The sequence below is a fragment of the Homo sapiens genome, chromosome 15 (assembly GCF_000001405.40).
Source record: "Homo sapiens chromosome 15, GRCh38.p14 Primary Assembly".
In the NCBI taxonomy this organism is placed as follows: Eukaryota; Metazoa; Chordata; class Mammalia; order Primates; family Hominidae; genus Homo; species Homo sapiens.
Window position 1 is genome coordinate 32,640,809 of NC_000015.10, and position 17,909 is coordinate 32,658,717.

General features: G+C 43.1%; 2 protein-coding genes across 5 annotated transcripts in view, besides 2 other annotated features; both read left to right on the top strand.

Moving 5' to 3' along the window:
* The window catches only part of ARHGAP11A-SCG5 (ARHGAP11A-SCG5 readthrough), an 81,623-nt gene that overhangs the window by 25,333 nt on the left and 38,381 nt on the right, over positions 1-17,909 (top strand). The window contains exon 10 of the mRNA NM_001368319.1: positions 2,778-3,010. Within this exon, the coding sequence (NP_001355248.1) occupies positions 2,778-3,010 (233 nt within the window). The remainder of the gene's footprint in view (positions 1-2,777; positions 3,011-17,909) is intronic.
* Positions 395-1,035: an enhancer, noted in NCBI's record as "H3K27ac-H3K4me1 hESC enhancer chr15:32933404-32934044 (GRCh37/hg19 assembly coordinates)". NCBI's record gives its function as "activates a minimal SCP1, AML or CMV promoter by ChIP-STARR-seq in naive H9 embryonic stem cells {active_cell/tissue: H9 hESC(naive)}" and the evidence as "EXISTENCE:reporter gene assay evidence [ECO:0000049][PMID:30033119]".
* The window catches only part of SCG5 (secretogranin V), a 55,383-nt gene continuing 38,375 nt past the window's right edge, over positions 902-17,909 (top strand). For all 4 annotated transcript variants that reach the window (NM_001144757.3, NM_001394278.1, NM_003020.5 and 1 more), the window contains exons 1-2: positions 902-970; positions 2,778-3,010. In NM_001144757.3, the coding sequence (NP_001138229.1) occupies positions 2,785-3,010 (226 nt within the window). In that variant the 5' untranslated portion in view covers positions 902-970; positions 2,778-2,784. The remainder of the gene's footprint in view (positions 971-2,777; positions 3,011-17,909) is intronic.
* Positions 1,036-1,674: an enhancer, noted in NCBI's record as "H3K27ac-H3K4me1 hESC enhancer chr15:32934045-32934683 (GRCh37/hg19 assembly coordinates)". NCBI's record gives its function as "activates a minimal SCP1, AML or CMV promoter by ChIP-STARR-seq in primed H9 embryonic stem cells {active_cell/tissue: H9 hESC(primed)}" and the evidence as "EXISTENCE:reporter gene assay evidence [ECO:0000049][PMID:30033119]".

The following is a 17,909-nucleotide window of genomic DNA, read 5'->3' on the forward strand; positions in this document are numbered from 1 at the left end:
TTTGCCAGCCTCTATTTATTGCATAAAAATTGCTGTAGATGATAATGGATTTGCTCTCTAGAGCTAAGATAAATAGATCTGGATTCTAACCTCATCAGGTTACTTGTTTTGAGACCCCCAGGTTCTTTACTCATCCTCCATCTTGATCAAATTTGTAGTGCCATATTTATTGTATGGCTTTACATTTTGATTTTAGTATTTGAACAAATTTCAGTGTTCAAGATTGCACATAGTAGGTGCTCCATAAACCCTTATTTAAGAATCTGGGACTACCTGGACATACTTCTACAGTATGCTGGGAGTATGGTTTCTCTTCAGGCCAAAGTGGAATTTTACTTGATGGTTTGTGTGGACGTTTAGAAATAACACTCAGAGCTGATATTTCTACAGATTTTCAAGTTTATCACTTTAATGGAAGTTTCTGGCTTCTTGTATTAAATATCCCCATAGTTTTCCTGATTAGTAAGAGGCCCCTCAGAGCAGGGTATACCTTATCATAGCCACCATTAAAAGTTCTTAGGACTTCATCTTTTGTCTCTCTACCATTCATTGCCTCTTCCCTCTTGAAGCTGAAAGGCTTTAGACACAAAAACAAAAAACATATTCTAGAAGTTGACAAAATTAAAGGTGTGCTGTAGTGGTGATCTGGCACGTTGTAATTGAGACTGAGGAGGTGAATGACTTACATGGAGGTCGATGGAGCTGAAGAGGGTCTCTAGGAAATGTCATAGTCAAGAGGTTTGTATGCAGAATGTGGGGGTTGAAGAGCTGTGCGGCTCCTGGTGAGAGGCACACTTATCTGGGATGCAGTCTGGGGAGTCCTGGCGAGGCAGCTTCCACCTGCTGGAGGAGGGGCCGGGGCGGAGCTAAGATGCGGAGGAGGGTGACGCACTAGCTCTCCAGTTCGCCCGTTCCTGGCCTGACCCCCACCAAGGCCCATACCGCAGTAGGCTCCTCGGGCTGCCCCTCGGTGAGTACAGTTTTGATGTCGGCTCGGCCGCCTGCCGCCAACCCGAGATTTGGTATTGCCAGTTGTGGGAGGGCGTCCTGCTAAAATCCTTGAGGTGGAGGCTGGGGTCAGACGAAGGATGCGTAGGGGATTAGAATGTTTGGCTATCAGTAAGGGGAAGGGAGTACTGAGGGAGGAGATTGTGTAGTTCATCAAATCAGAGCGGCGTTTGCTGGGATGACATCCTGCATTCAGAGTGGACAAGGGAAAGATGGAGATGGAGAGCCTCGTGTCTGCCTCCAGCCTTTTCCATCAGAATTGCAGATTTTGCTGTTAAACAGCTACTCTCAGCTCTTTGGAGAGCAAGGTTTTATATCTAGTGGCTAGAAAAGGCCTTTTCTTTGCAGAAAAAGAAATTGGAGGGTATAAAAATTTTTGTTTCAGTAAAGGAAATGCACGATTTTGCCTCCTCCCACCTCTCCATCCCCCATCCTCAGTAGAAGAATGATTAGAAGGAGGGTTTGCGCCGGTCCTGGTGGCTCACGCCTGTAATCCTAGCGCTTTGGGAGGCTGAGGGGAGGGGGTGGATCACCTGAGGTCAGGAGTTCGAGACCAGCCTGACCAATATGGTGAAACCCTGCCTCTATTAAAAATACAAAAATTAGCCGGGTTTGGTTGTGGGCGCCTGTAATTCCAGCTACTCGGGAGGCTGAGGCAGGAGAATCACTTGAACCTGGGAGGTGGAGGTTGCAGTGAGTCGAGATGGCGCCACTGCACTCCAGCCTGGGCAACAAGAGTGAAACTCCGTCTCAAAAAAAAAAAAAAAAAAAAAAAAAAAGGGTTTGCAAGGCCGCTGCCTGAAGCATGCATCCAAACACGTTAAGCAGCTGTGGGGTAAGCTGCAAGGATAATGTTCACTTGTTTTGCAGACATACCCATAGAAACCAACATTTTGGACAGGTTGACCCTCCCACCCCCAGGCTAGTTAACTCCCTCTCACCACCACTGCCTCCCCATATTCTAACCTCCAGAACTGTTAAGGCAATGTTAGCAACATAATAATAGCAATATAGGGGCTCATTCTGTGCCTGGCATTGTCCTAAACACTCTTAACATGTATTTGCACACACCCTCACAACAACCCTAAAAGGTAAATGCTTTAATTATCTCCGTTTTGCAGAGGAGGAAACTGAGGGACTTGCCTACGATCACTCAGCATGTGGCTGAGCAAACAAACCTCAAACTACCCCAGCAGATTGCAGGGCTGGATCTAAGGAACATTTTCCTTCCTTTCAGGATCGCAAACGTATTGGATGTTTGCTAAACTGAAATGTTTCCCTGCCACCACTCCCAACCTTCCTGAGCTTCTTGATTTGTGTCTTCCTGACTCCCTCCTGTTAGACTTTTATTCCCAGAGACTGGGAAAACCCAAGATGCCACTATCTCTTTCTCAAAATGTAAGCAAGTTTGGTTTATTTGTTTTAGTAAGAGAGGGAGAGAGTGATGAAGTTAGGAGTAATGCAGAACTTTCAGGGAGCTACAAGGAGGATAAAAATTATGAGTGAGAACCGCCATTCCAGCCTAGCTTTCTCAAGAATGCAAACAGAGGGAATTGGATACCTGCAACTGTTTTGTTTAATACCTTTCTGCAATGATGCTCTGCCTAGCATGGAAACTTAAGACAAAAGCAACCTCCTAAGGATTCTTTGTTACAACCCCTTTCTGGGTGGTCCTCGAACCACAACCTGGAGTGGTTGCATCATTATAATTGTATTATCACAATTGCCGATTGTAGCCTATCAGTATACATTTGGTCTTTTATCTGCAGGTTGACAATGGTCTCCAGGATGGTCTCTACCATGCTATCTGGCCTACTGTTTTGGCTGGCATCTGGATGGACTCCAGCATTTGCTTACAGCCCCCGGACCCCTGACCGGGTCTCAGAAGCAGATATCCAGAGGCTGCTTCATGGTGTTATGGAGCAATTGGGCATTGCCAGGCCCCGAGTGGAATATCCAGCTCACCAGGCCATGAATCTTGTGGGCCCCCAGAGCATTGAAGGTATTTACTGTGTTCTGATGGTTTGAAGTTTCCGTTAGCATTTTAAATAATATATTTGCACACTTCTCACAACAACCTTATAAGTAGATGCCTTTATTATCCTATTTTTTTCAGAGGAGGAAGCTAATTTTTAAGAGACTCTACTTTCTCATGGTTTTCCCTTTCTTCTTCTACACAGTGTCTACATACTTACATATACACACCCACATGAGACTATAAGTCCTGTGAGAGCAGGGACCTTATCTATCTAATTCATAGCTGTAGCCCTAGCACCTAGCACAATGTCTGGTACATAATAGGTGCTCAATTAATGTTTGTTGAATGAATGAAGGAGCATCTAGTGTTATCACTAAAGAAAGATTAGAACCCAGACATGATGTTTTCTCCTCACTGCTGATCTTCAGGAAATTGTGTCATCAGATAGCTGCCTTTTGAGTCAATGCCAGCCAGTACTTGTAAAAGAGCTTCAAAATGTAGAACCTACAGGATCTGACTTGATTCCTAGGAATGACTCCAGTATACCCAAGAGGAGACAAAAGAGGTACTGACATTAAGAGTTTACGTGAAAGCTTTTGAAAATATTTAAAAATATAACAATTTTATTAAATAATAAATTAAGAATAATTAAATCGTTTTAAGGTGGCAAGACCATTTTCCCCCTGAAGTTTTCCAAGTTTCTGGCAATGTGGTCATAATACTTGTATTAGAAAGCAGTACTTCATTTGTTTGTTGTTTAATGATTTGTTTATAAAGAGAATCTAGCTTCTATGAGCTGGTGATGCAGCGTTAGACAGATTCCTTATTTCCATGCTTTGCTTTTTATCCTCTGATTCTAATGATCTCCTTCTCCACTAAGGCAGAATCCTAAAGAAGTAGCATGGTTAATTTCAGTTAAATGCAAGGGAGCATTTCCTTATAGTTCAAGGATTTGCCCATGGAGTGGGTCCGAAGGAAAATGAGAATTATCTCTAAAAGCATACCAACCAAATGCTGTTTGTTCCCTACAGATTGATTATGCACTATTTTGCCAGAGTCTGTGATTTTCTAAAAATGCTATCTGCCCTAGGGTTCTGTGAATGCCATGAATATTGTTGATAGATGATTCTTATTTCTGTTTTGTTACCCATAGTTTTAAGCCATTGAGTAAAACTAATTCGGTGAGATTGTAGTCTGTTTAGGTTGACATTTGATTTCAGGAGTGGATTAACACAAATGCGTTGAATCGGCAAGCATGCAAACCTAGCACATGGCTTGAATTAGAACAAATCCGACAGAGCTTCCTGTCATCCCTTTTAGGGAGAATCTCAGTCCTTCTCAGCATCTGTCACCGTTACTTCAAGCACACCTATATATTTCAGGCCAGCTCTTTTGAGACAAACAATAAATATCTACCTTTTTAAGGCAGGAAGTGCTTGGTTATTCACCTAAGCTGTTGTCATGGAGTTCTCTGAGTTTCCACTAATACCTGAGGCCTGATCAGCTGTGCTGGAAAAGAAACAGCCACTCCCGGGGCATCAAAAGCCTCTTTATCCAGAGACTCCATTCCCTCCAGTATCCAACTATTTAGTACCCACTATATACCAGGCACTAGGCAGGAGACTGGTGCAGCTCTGCCCTAAAGATTCACAGTCTGAGTGGAGAGGGAAGTGGGGACACACATCAAAAGTTATGACAGTGCATCCCAGCAGGTGTTTTGATAGATGTACACACAAGCTGCCGCCGTGGAAGCAAACAGGAGTAATTTAGTCTGCTTAGGAGTGGATGGGGTGGCTATAAGGAAATGCTGCTTTGAAGAAGCAACATTTGACCTGGGTTTTGAAGTTTGAGTAAGAGTTCATCAGGGAACCATAAGTGTAAAGGCATGGAGGTACAACTATTATGTACCCACAAAAACTAAAAAAATAAAAGGCATGGAGACATGAAAGATCATGGATTAGGACAATTCAGAATTAAAAACTCTGTTTCCCTTATTACCCTTGGAATAATGTGCTTAACATAGCAATTTTTTTTTCTTCTTTTTGAGACAGAGTCTCACTCTGTCACCCAGGCTGGAGTGCAGTGGTGCAATCTTGGCTCACTGCAAGCTCTGCCTCCCGGGTTCACACCATTCTCCTGCCTCAGCCTCCTGAGTAGCTGTTTACAGGCGCCCGCCACCACGCCCGGCTAATTTTTTGTATTTTTAGTAGAGATGGGGTTTCACCGTGTTAGCCAGGATGGTCTCCATCTGACCTCATGATCCGCCTGCCTCGGCCTCCCAGAGTGCTGGGATCACAGGCGTGAGCCACCACACCCGGCCTAACATAGCAATCTTAAGTCTCCCCTATCAGTATCTGTGGAAGGGATGAATACTGACTTGAATTTTAGTTTTCTATTACTGTATAACAAATTACCACAAATTTAGCAGTTTCACACAGCATTCATTTATTATTTGAGTTTTCCACTGCTCAGGAGTTTGGTGCGGATTAGTGTTCAGGTGCTGACCAGAGGTGTCGTCTTGGCTGCAGCTTGCGTCCTCTTCCAAGCTCGTTAAGGCTGTTGGCAGAATTCCATTTGAATTATATTGTAGGACTGAGTTCCCTTTCTCTTGCTGGCTGTCAGCCAACCAAAGCCCCTCTCAGCTCTTAGAGGCCGCCTCAGGTTGTAAGCCACATGCCTTCTCATAGCTGGAAGGAGAATATCTCTTTAGTCTTCTAATTATAATGTAATATGATCCTGGGAGTGACTATCCCATGACCTTTTTCGGATAACAAGGGACTGATATCTCATTATATTCCCAGCAGGTGGGAATCTTGGGAGTCTTCCTAGAATTGTATACTATAGCTAGGATGAAAACTAACAAAGAAAATAGTCCAAAGATACTTGGGGCAAAAACAACAAAATAAAAAGCCTGGGTTTTTCCCAGTCTGGGACCTTGGCATTGAATTTGTTGGGTGGTCTGATCATTTATTCATGTGAGTTAGTTATTGTTTCACCTCATCCATTTATTTGCATTATCTTTGCTCACACTCCCTGATGCTAATTCCCTCTGACAGACACATGGAGTATCTTCCATACCCTTCCAACATTGATTTTAGGATTTTATTGTGAAGAACCAAGTTGGGAAAGTTTATTTTTAATTGTTACAGAAAGAATATACATAATATATTATCATATTTTATAGTAATACTGTATTCTGGTGTGAATTTCAAATACACTTAACATGGTGCTTATGAGCACAAACCATTGTCAGAGACACCCGAATTTGAATGCCAGCTTCATCATTTATTACTAATATGACCTTGGGCAAGTTACTTAACTCCTATAACCTTCTGTTTAGCTTAGGGGTAGGATTTAAATTCACTTACTTGTAAGCAGGTAATGTTCCAGTCCACAGAAGCAAAAATAAAGTTTTAGCATGGATAACTGTGCTACGATGAAATAATTTCTAAACAAATCATCATCATCATCACTTTAGATAATTACTGGATGTTAAGTTCCTTGCAGGCAGAGTTGTTCACTGCCCAACACATGGTACATAGAAGACAAATATCTATCTTGTCTACTTAAATAAATTAATTGTATGATCAATGGATCTTAACAAATGTGTATATTTGCTCTCAAATATAGAATTATAAATTGGCCTTTTAGTATAGGAATATAGTATCAGTATAAATTAATGTTAGGTCAGTGAGGTATCATATATCCCATTAAAAAAAACATATCTTCTTTGATTCCATATCCCTTCTAGTTACTGTTCCAATTTTCTGCTGCCTTTCACAGCAACCTTTCACAGCTGCCTTTCACAGCCTTTCCTCACATGCCAATTGTACTTCTTCACCTCTCATTCTCTCCTGGTCCATTGTAGCCCACTGTTCTCACCGCTCATTCATTAAACCTACTAGTATTTATTGAGTGCCAGGCACTGTTTTAGGTACTGAGGAAATAAACGTGAACAGCAAAGTAGCAGGGCGAGGAAATGTAGTCCTTAAATAAACAAATAAGTATTGGGCTTTCCTTTTTTCCTTTTTTTCTTTACCCATTTGTTAGTTTCGTTTACAGGTTTCTCTGGCGGCCTTTAAAAGTTAAGTTCTCCAGGGCTCAGTGCTGGGTCCACTTCTCTTATTTCCCTCAATTCTCTATCTACTTGATCTCATTCATTCTCTTGACTCTCAATCCATTTCTTGGCTGGTGACTCCGGTGTTTGTATTTCAGCCCACATTTCTTTCTTGCATATCCATAGGCTTACACTAATTGCTAAATTGCCAGGTTTCGATCCTGATTTCTCAAACCACCACCTTCCCCAGCCTGTTTATATCAGTCTTTTCTGTCTAAATGAGTAGTGCCCCTGCTTAGCCATATATGCAAACTAAATACCTACAGTAACCCTTGATTTTCTCCATCACACTTCATGCCTCAATTTTAAGTAATTTATTTCATTTTTATCTCTAAAATCCATGTGCAATTTCCTGTCTGCTTCTCTCTAGCTCTACTCCAAACACCCTGGTCCAAGATACCATCATGTCTGGCATGGAGTTTTGAAATCGCCTCCTAACTCATCTTCCTGCTTCTATTCTTGATCCCTTTTCGATTGTTCTTCACAGGAAGAACAGGAGTTAAACTTTTTTCAGGAGTTAAACTTGAAAAGTTTAAACCATATTAGTGTCATCTCCGTAGTTACAATTCCATTGGTGGCTTCCCATCGTACCCTGAATAAAAATAACCCTTCTTGCCATGACCTACGAGGATCCACAGCTCCAGTCAATCGTACTCCCTACTTTGTTCCACGCATTCTGGCCCTGAGTCACACCGGCCTCTTCCCACCTCAAGGCTATCAACACATTGGATGGGATCAACAATGGGAGGCTATCAACCTCCCATTCCTTGTGTAGCGAGTTTCAAAGTCACCCACTCAGAGAGGGCTGCCTGACTGCCCTGTCTGAGTAGCACCCCCCTACATTCTCTGTTGCAGTCTCCTTTTTTTTTTTTAAAAAAAAAACAGAGTCTCACTCTGTCCCCCAGGCTGGAGTGCAATGGTGCGATCTCGGCTCACTGCAAGCTCCGCCTCCCGGGTTCTCGCCATTCTCCTGCCTCAGCCTCCCCAGTAGCTGGGACTACAGGCGCCCGCCACCACGCCCGGCTAATTTTTTGTGTTTTTAGTAGAGACGGGGTTTCACCGTGTTAGCCTCCTGACCTCGTGATCCTCCCGCCTTGGCCTCCCAAAGTGCTGGGATTACAGGCGTGAGCCGCCATGTCCAGCCTTTTTTTTTAAAGCTCCATAGCATTTTTTGTCATTTATAATCATTGTTTGTTTTCTTGCTTATTGTTTATCTCTCCACTGGAATGTAAGCTCCATGAGGCTATATCTGCTTATTAACTGCATTATATTCCAGGCACATAGTAAGCATTCAGTAAATATTTGAGGAATTAATGTATAATATCAGGGGGAAATAAATATACCTAATGGCAATAAGTATGTAAATACTGTTTTACATCTGGATCTGTCAAGACTTTCTGCCTTTTAGTTCAAGGAAAATATTCCATTTCTATTCTGTTTTTAAAAATCTCTGCCTAGAGGTTCTTGCCATGAGCTTAGTGATAATGTGGTGAGCAAAAATGTCTGTTATCTAGAATTGACTATGACTGTGATCACCATGGTGCAAGGTTTGTGCCCTTTGTACAGCGCCTACCAAGGAGCTAGAAGGACTTTTTGCAGTCCTGGGACTAAACCAGCAGAGGGCCAACTAGACTAGAAGTTTATTTTGGAAGATTCCTGAACCCTGGTAGCCAGCCTCCTGGTCGTTAATAGCTTTAAGTGGTCGCTGGGGTAGAAGCATTTGCCAAAACATCCAGAGAGGATTGGGGGTTATGTTTAACTTCTCCGTGGGCGCCTTAAAAACAGCTTGGTAAGGAGCATCTTTCAAATGTGTAAATTCTTAGTCCAAAGCAAATAAAAACACAAAGACAAACAGGGACCTACTTGGCATTACATGAAAAAAAAGAGTGTGTATGTTTATGGCAGAGAACTCGGGTTAACCCGTAGCCGTACTATTTTCTAGCTATGTGTAATCCTGGCAACTTTCTAAGCCTAGTTCTCTCAAATAAAATCGGCCCAAATAAAATGGGCTTGTCTGGTTCGAGTTGGTGTTTGAAAAATAAAAATAAAATAAAATGGGGTTTCCAGCCCACTCTTACATGCAATCAGTGGGTGCCATTAGTAACTGAATTGCAGGCCTTCCTCCTCTCACTTTGTGGATTATCAACAACATGTTTTCAGTCTTTAATGGCTTACCCCAATCTTATTTATTTATTTATTTTTTGAGACGGAGTCTTGCTCTTTCGCCCAGGCTGGAGTGCAGTGGCGGGATCTCAGCTCACTGCAAGCTCTGCCCTCCCAGGTTCATGCCATTCTCCTGCCTCAGCCTCGCGAGTAGCTGGGACTACAGGTGCCCGCCACCACACCTGGCTAATTTTTTTTTCGTATTTTTAGTAGAGACGGGGTTTCACCATGTTAGCCAGGATGGTCTCGATCTCCTGACCTCGTGATCCGCCCATCTCGGCCTCCCAAAGTGCTGGGATTACAGGCGTGAGCCACCACGCCCGGCGCCCCAGTCTTATTTTTGATTACTCATCAGTTAGCAATACAGTTCAGATATGCTTCAGTGCACCATATATTTCAGCAGTAACCATCTTCTCCCAAGCCCACGGTTGCTCACTGGTCTCCAAGACATAGCTAAATGGCTACTGTTGTATTATCCCCAGAAACAAATAAAGCCACCAACTGTCCAGGGGACTGATTCGGAGAACCATGTGCTGTGAGATGGGAGCTCTTGGGAGTTAGAACTGGTTGTGCCAGCTGACACTGATGATGGCCTTGGATGGCCTTGGATGAATCCAACCAGAAAATGTGCTTTCGTTTTCAGAACATTAACAGCTTCAGGTAAAAGATAGGCTGCTCAGTGCCAGCTGTTCATTTTCCCCACAGTTCTAGGCCACCAGCTATCTAGCACTGTGATAACACCAGTTATCTAGCCATTAAGATAGAAATGTATAAACATTAGCATTTGATGGCTCTGAGTAATTTTAAATCCATATTGCCAAACATTAAAATACCCACGTTCTGCCGGGCGCGATGGCTCACGCCTGTAATCCCAGCACTTTGGGAGGCCGAGGCGGGCGGATCACCTGAGGTCAGAAGTTCGAGACCAGCCTGGCTAACATGGTGAAACCCCGTTTCTACTAAAAATACAAAAAATTAGCTGGGCATGGTGGCACGTGCCTGTAATCCCAGCTACTCGGGAGGCTGAGGCAGGAGAATCGCTTGAACCCTAAAGGCAGAGATTGCAGTGAGCCAAGATCGCCCATTGCACTCCAGCGTGGGCAACAAGAGCGAAACTCTGTCTCAGAAAAATAAAATAAAATAAAATACGTTCTTTTTTATAACACTGACTGTTGGACTTCAAATTTTTCACTTAGAAATAGAGACCCAAGGTTATTTTCTTAATAAATATCAAGTGGAGAAAGAGTCCTGTGGATGATAGGCTACTTGAAGAGGCAGATCCTAGGAGCCTCTACTCTGCCAAGCTTTGGCCTTGGTAAAGGAGCTGCAGTGCCTCCGCTTTGCCACAGGGTGGCAACAGTTGCTTCCCATTTGAGGATGGCGGGGTGAAGCAAACCTTGAACTGTAGGGGACACTCCGTTTCTGGCTAGTCTCTCTCTGCAGTTGGAGAAAGCAGTGCAGCTGACTCTTATGTGTCTTGACTAAAATCTGTTTCTAGGTTATCCTCACCCTGGAGGAACCAATGAGAACATTGGGCTTGTAGGCCATCTATGAATGGACTGGGACCGCCCAATGGGCCCATGCCTTTGGGGTTGCATTTTGTCCACCTTGAACTTCAATCCTTAAAGTCTCTGGATGATTTTCAGTTTTTCTCTGTTGAGCAATTGCATGGATAGTAATGAGAAATTCAAAAGAAACGGGGAGGTTCTTTTTGGGAGGGGAAAAGGATAGGAAAGATGAACACGATGACATGTTTGTGTATGTTTACAGTGTCCTGGGTATCCAGAAGGCACTTAGATGTATATGGCACAGGAGAGAAGTCTGGGAGAAGGAAGGGTTTCAGAGTCATCCCCGTGTTAGTGGTGGCTGATACTGTAGGGGTGGATGGGGTCACCCTGGGTGGGTATTGAGAACAACAGGGCACCTAAGACAAAGGCCAGGTAGATGAAGAAGAATCCACAAAGGAAACTGGGATAAATCGGCCAGAAAGGAGAAGAACCAGAAAGATAGAGTGTAATGAAAACAAGGAAATAGTGTTCTGAGAAGGGGCAGTGGTTACCACTGTCAGGATCAGCAGAGAGGTCACATGAAATAGTAAAAACCACTGGGTGTCAAGTGTTCACTGGGGGTAGCAACACAGAAGTTACTGCTTTGTGGGGGCTTTGGGCAGAGCCGGCTCTGGGGAGTAGTGGGGGCCCACCATACCTGCAGGGCATTGAGGGGATAAACAAGGAAGAAATGCAACGTATAAATGTGTTCCCAGAATGTCAGGTAAAGGGGAGATGAGTAATAGCTGTGGAAGGATTGGGGGAAGGGTGAATGATTTAGAGCTGAGGACGGTTTCTGTTAAGGTTGTTTTAGGATGTGAGAAATTGAACTTGCTGAAGTGCTAATTGCTAAGAACCAGCAGAGAGGGAGAGTTGAAGATGTGGGATGGGGAGCAGCAACTGAGGAGGTGGGAGAGGATGAGGACTGGAGCACAGGTGTTGGCCTGTGTCTTAGGTCTTTCCTTCCTCCATTGGGGAAAAAGGAAAGTGGCAAAGGTGTGCTGGGATACAGAGCTTTGGAGGTTTTGGCCTCAGGTGTTTGCAAGCACTGTACTAATTCTAGCCACCTTCTCAATTAAAATAAGAATACAAGAATGAAATGCAGTCTCCCAAATCTCTTTTCTTTGCCAGCTTATACATTTATACACCTCACTGATATGTCTTTTGATGTTTTAAAATTTTGGACAGCACTATTTTTAACTTTTACAACTATAACTATTAGTTATTTACTAGTTATAGTATAAACTTTTAATATTTACTTTTTATAACTCCTAGATGTCTTGTAGATCAAAAGATCTAAAGTGTCATCTTTGTCTATTTTATATCTTGTTTAATAGTAATAAATGTTTTAGTGAAGCATAAACCTAGAACAAAAATAGAAAATAATCTTAATAGGGTGTTGGGGAATTTTATGTGAACACTTCATGTGTCTTTGGAACAGTACAATGTAAAAAATTAGCACAGCCTTATTGCATGCACAAAATGTGAAATAATGTGAATCTTCCCCAAATAACAATTTGTCAAGAATCACAATTTCAAAGTAGTAGGCTTAGTAATTCTAAACAGTGATCGGTAGAATCTGTCATCATCCTCAATTAGGATTGTTCTTGAATTTTGTGAATTTTCAATCACGAGTGAGATCTTTAGTCCATTCCTTAAATAACATGTGACTATCTTAGAATGTCAAAGAGGGACACAGAAAACTAGATAACAACTCCTGAAATTAAGTTTGCTGTATGGCAACTACTAATTGCTCTGCCAGTTGTCTGACTGTAGAATAATCCTTGTGAAATATTCACTTCTATATGGGTTGGAGCCTGGGTAAGTCTGAGCCCCAGTGTATTTTCATGGAAGTCACTAGAACCAGATGTAAATCCTGGGTTCTCTAGAGAAACAGACAAACAGAACCAATAGAATGTATAGAGAGACAGACAGTTATTTTAAAGAGTTGGCTCATATAAACGTGGGGGCTGGCAAGTTGAAAATTTGTAAGACAGACTGGAGACTTGGGCAAGAGTTGATAATTTTGAGTCTGAAGACAGTCCAGAGGCCGAATTATTTCCTTTTCAGAGGACCTCAGTCTTTTCTCTTAACGTCTTCAGTGATTAGATGAAGTCCACCCGTATTATAGAGAGTAATCTGCTTTTCTTAAAGTTCACTGATTTAAATATTACTCACTTTAATACCTTCACAGAAAAATCTAGTGTTGGCTTATGATCACACAACTGGGTACTATAACTTAGGCAGTCTGACACATGAAATTAATAGGGTGTTGGGGAATAAAATTAACACAGCTGTCATCAAGCCTCCATTTCCTAAGGAAAATTATTATAATCCACATAAATATGGTATTTTGCTTTTGAATCTCTCTAACAGAGTCTGGGTCTCAAATTGTCTTCATGCACAGTGTCATGCTTACCCTCACAATCACTTACTGGAGGCAGGCAAGGAGGGTGAGTATTCCTTGCCACCTTTTACAGATGTGGAAAAAGAAACTCAGAGATGAGACTTATCTAGGGATACAGCTTGTCTTCTGGTCTGTTCAGGCTGCTATAACAAAAATTCCACAGACTAGGTGGCTTAAATAACAAAGGTTTATTTCACAGTTCTGGAGGCTGGGAAGTCAAAACCAAGGTGCTGGCAGATTCCGTGCCTGGGGAGAGACTGCTTCCTGATTCATAGGTGGCTGTCTTTCATTGTATTCACATGGCAGAAGAGATGAGAGAGCTCTCTGGGGCTTCTTTTATTACCATCACATTGGGGATTAGGCTTCAACATGTAAATTTTAAGAGGAACACAAACATTCCATCCATAGCCCAGCTAGTATTTGTGGGATCAGAGCCTGAGCTGGACCCCGGTGTTTTCCTCTTCTGTCTGTCCAGCACATCACACTGCTTCTTTGGCTAGTTGATCTAGTTAATTATAGGTACTGTACAGATGCAGAAAGTGTTAAACCTTGACCACAAGGTTTATCCTTAAGGATGATCCTCACTCCTGGGCTCATTGTTGATACTTCTTTGTATTTGCTTCTTTAGCCTCATTGTGAATTGGCATTGATGATGAGGAAGAGCTTGCCTTCCTCACTAGACTGAGATTTGCAAATGCGCACACAGTATCTGCCTCGCTTTTTGTGTCTGTAGTGCCTAGACAAGGCCAGGCAAATAACACCCACTAAATATTTGTTGAAACAACCTTGCCATATTTGCTCCCTTGAAATAGCCATTGACCTCTGAGACACCAGCAAGTGGGACTCGTGTTATTCCAGTCAAGATTATCCAGCCTTCGCAACATGTAAATATATCTGGAGCATTTTGACGGTAATAACCTAAAAGTCACCGGCATTTCTCACACTTGGTCACTTAGGACTGCAATTTCCTGGAAAGTGCTTTAAATATTTCTGGAGATTGCCGGGCATGGTAGCTCATGCCTGTAATCCCAGCACTTTGGGAGGCCGAGGCGGGCGGATCACAGGGTCAGGAGATCGAGACCATCCTGGCTAACACGGTGAAACCCCGTCTCTACTAACAATACAAAAAATTAGCTGGACGTGGTGGCGGGCACCTGTAGTCCCAGCTACTCAGGAGGCTGAGGCAGGAGAATGGCATGAACCCAGGAGGCGGAGCTTGCAGTGAGCCGAGATCGTGCCACTGCACTCCAGCCTGGGCAACAGAGCGAGACTCTGTCTGAACAAAAAAAAAAAAAATTCTGGAGATCATAGAGCAAACACCATATATGATCCTAAGCAAAATGAATTGGTCCACTTCCGTGGGACAGTTACCCATTTTCCCCTTTTCCTCCCCTTGTCCCCTTAAGTTCGGCACCACCATGCCCTTCAGCTATGATTGTCTCCCATTACAGCTGGTGGGTGCCCCCAAGCTATGCAGCCTCAGGGTGTTCTGTTGTAGTGGGTGCTGACTTGGGAGGGCAACGGGAAATCCCCTCAGTGTATGCTATGGTCTGAATGTTTGTGTCTCCCCCAGATTTATATGTTGATGCCTAATCCCCACTGCAATAGTAATAAAAGATAGGGTCTTTGGGGGTGATTAGACCTTGAGGACTTCACCCTTACAAATGGGATCCATGCCCTTATGAAAGAGGCCAGAGGAAGCTCATTTGCCCTTTCCACCGTGGGAGAACACAGGAGACGGAGCCACTGTGAGGAACAGGCCCTCACCAGACACAGAATCTACAGGCACTTTAATCTTGGACTTCCCAGCCCCACAACTGTGAGCAATAAATTTCAGCTGTTTGCATATCACTTGGTCTAAAGTATTTTTTACAGCAGCCTGAATGGACCAAGACAGTGTGCCTTGATATCCCTAAATACTAGAGATTTTTTAGGGAAACATAGCTTTATTTTTTTTGCCCCTCTGCCCCACAACTTTCTGTAGGATTCACATGGGGGTGTTGGACATGGAGACAAAGCTAAGCACTGGGAACCATAGGTTCTAAAAATCCCAACCTTTCCATTGACCACTAAGGCATTATTTATTGTCTGGTGCCTTGCAGTTGGCAAGCCGACTCCTCTTTCCTTCAGTCTGAGCTTTCTCCTGGAGGTTTCTAAGTTCCTCATGCAAATAGGCTTCTGGCAGATGTCCTCTCAGACATATCTGTTCAAAACTCAGAGTGTTCAAGCTGGGACCTTGTTTCACGTCATCTGGAAAAAGAGGGAGGCAACAGGAAGTGTGCTGAGTCGCCAGGGAAGCCACAATCAACAATTTCCCACAGGTAATTGACAAAGTGGATCAGGCACATGTAGGAAGTGGAATTGTGGTAACTAAATTTTATATATTTTATGGCTTGCAGAAATACTTTTCTATATTCTGTCTCATTTGATACAGCCTTTAAAAAGGTTAAAAACGTTTATCATTGCCCACAATCACACCGCTTAAGCTTTACGAGTTAAATGTCCTGTTGGCAGGACAGCTGTGTTAGGTTTAAATGTATCTCCCCATCCAGCTGTCTTCTATCCTGGTAGACTAGTACAATCCTGTGATATTTAGCTGAGAAACTATAATGTGCTGGGAGTCGTGGTAAACCACATGTGGATTTGGGTGGATGGTGTTTCAGAGATGTGCCGCTTCTGGAAGCAAATGTTCTGACAAACTGCCTTCTTGGAACCAATTGGTGCAAATACCTTGGGCACCACAGTTCGTAAAGAGAACTGTCGAAGGCGGCTGGAAGGGTTTAGCAGACCACAATTTCGCACCGCAAATATAACTGAGCATGCACTTTTGACCATGGTGTGCTGTGTGATGTTAGTAGAGGAAGGGGCACTGGCGGTGGAGGCTGGGGGGGACTTGGTTTGTACAGCATAGCAGGAAGAGCACTGAGGCAGGATGCCCAGGGGTTCTAGTCCTAGCTCAGACCAGCTGCATGGCACTGAACAAGTCCCTTCAGTTCCGCAAAGTTTAGCTTCCCAATCTAAAAATAGAGATAAACTGTCCAGTCCATCTCACAGGTTTGACAGGGCAGTCAAATTAAATAATATATATAAACGTATTTTGGAAAGTATAAAATGGTACACAGGTGCAAAGCATCATTCTCATGGTCCTTAATTCTTTCTTTCATCCTCCTGTATATATATATATGTATGTATTTCCAGGTGTAAGTGGCTTTGGGATTGGAAGATAGTCATATCTTTCAATCTTAAGTTTCCTTCACGTGGCCTCAGAAAACTGCCCCCAGTAGTTGCATGTTAAACTTTGCCAGAATCAGTTTCCCACCTGGCCTTAAGTGCTCTGCTCTGTATTGGTGTTGACCTTAGGCGTGAGAAACATGTGACTGTAATGAGGATGGATGCTTTCTAAAAGCTCATAAATAGCAACTTTTTCATACTGAAATTTGCTCTGTTCCATTCTTGCCCTTGTGACTTTACAGATGTTGTATTCTGCCATGAAATAGGTTATAGAAGCAGGTTTAAAGTGAAGGAGACTATGATTCAGCTGCCAAACCAAAAGTGAAACCTGTCCATGTGGATATAGCAGATGTCAGTGGAAGAAAGGTGTGCAGAATTGAAAAGCTTGCTCTCCGTGGTTTGAGAACACACTGTCCTCTTGTGGGCGTCTCTGGCAGCCCATGATCGGTACACTTCCTTGAACCAAATAGCCTATCAAAATATTATCTAATACATTTCTACTTTTATTTACTCAATGAGTAATTACTGAGTGCCTACTACATGCCAGGAACTGTGGCCCTGATATGTTTCAAAACCCATAAACATGCATCTAACTTATTTATGTAGGATCTCCATCAGGCACTATCTTCTTTTAACCTTTCCAGTGAAGGTTAAACTCTGACCAGAGGAATTGAGCGTGTTTACAGAAAATCAGGAATGGAACAGAATTAGACTGCTTTTCCCCTTACTTCCCACTCCCTTACAGCATGTTCCATTGGTACTTGAGTCTAGAGGCATCCAGAGGTGTAAGAATAACCAAACACAACAAAGATTAGGAGTAACGAAGTGTTTTCATGCAGTGCCGCACCCCAGTGAGGTGGGCTGGCTAAAAGGATGTGATACAAACTGATATCCAGGGAATGGCAAAGAGGAGTAGCTGGGCCTGTCCATCATCTCTTATCATGACTCACAGCCCTTGTTTAAGGAATTTGAAGTCTAGGTGGATGAAAGGGACATCAAACTTAAAATGCATAGCTGCAACCTACTAGATAGAAGCTGAGAACCCTATATGTGGATCAGGCAGTCACTACTGGAGTTCAGGAGGGGAATAAGGCATTGGCCCCTAGAGAAGACATCACAGATCAAACTTGAGCTAGACTTCCTTGAGGACGGGTAGGATGTAGATGATAAAGATTCAGCTTCAGGCAGTAAGAAGTGAAAAGAAACATACTTTTTAACCAGTATGTGTTGAGTGGAGGGTGGTTATGGGGAAGGGAGGGTGGCAGGGAAGGCTGGATGCATTTAAGGCTGTCGCCAAGTTTTTCTGCTTAAAGAGCATCTGGGCACAGTGGCACATGGTCTATATTACTCAGGGCCCTAAGCTCACCTGAGAAGCTCCAGCCTCCCTTCTGCACCTTGCCCACAGAATGTTCTGTAACACTTCTCTGTCCTTGCAGATAAATAGGCTGCCCCAAATCT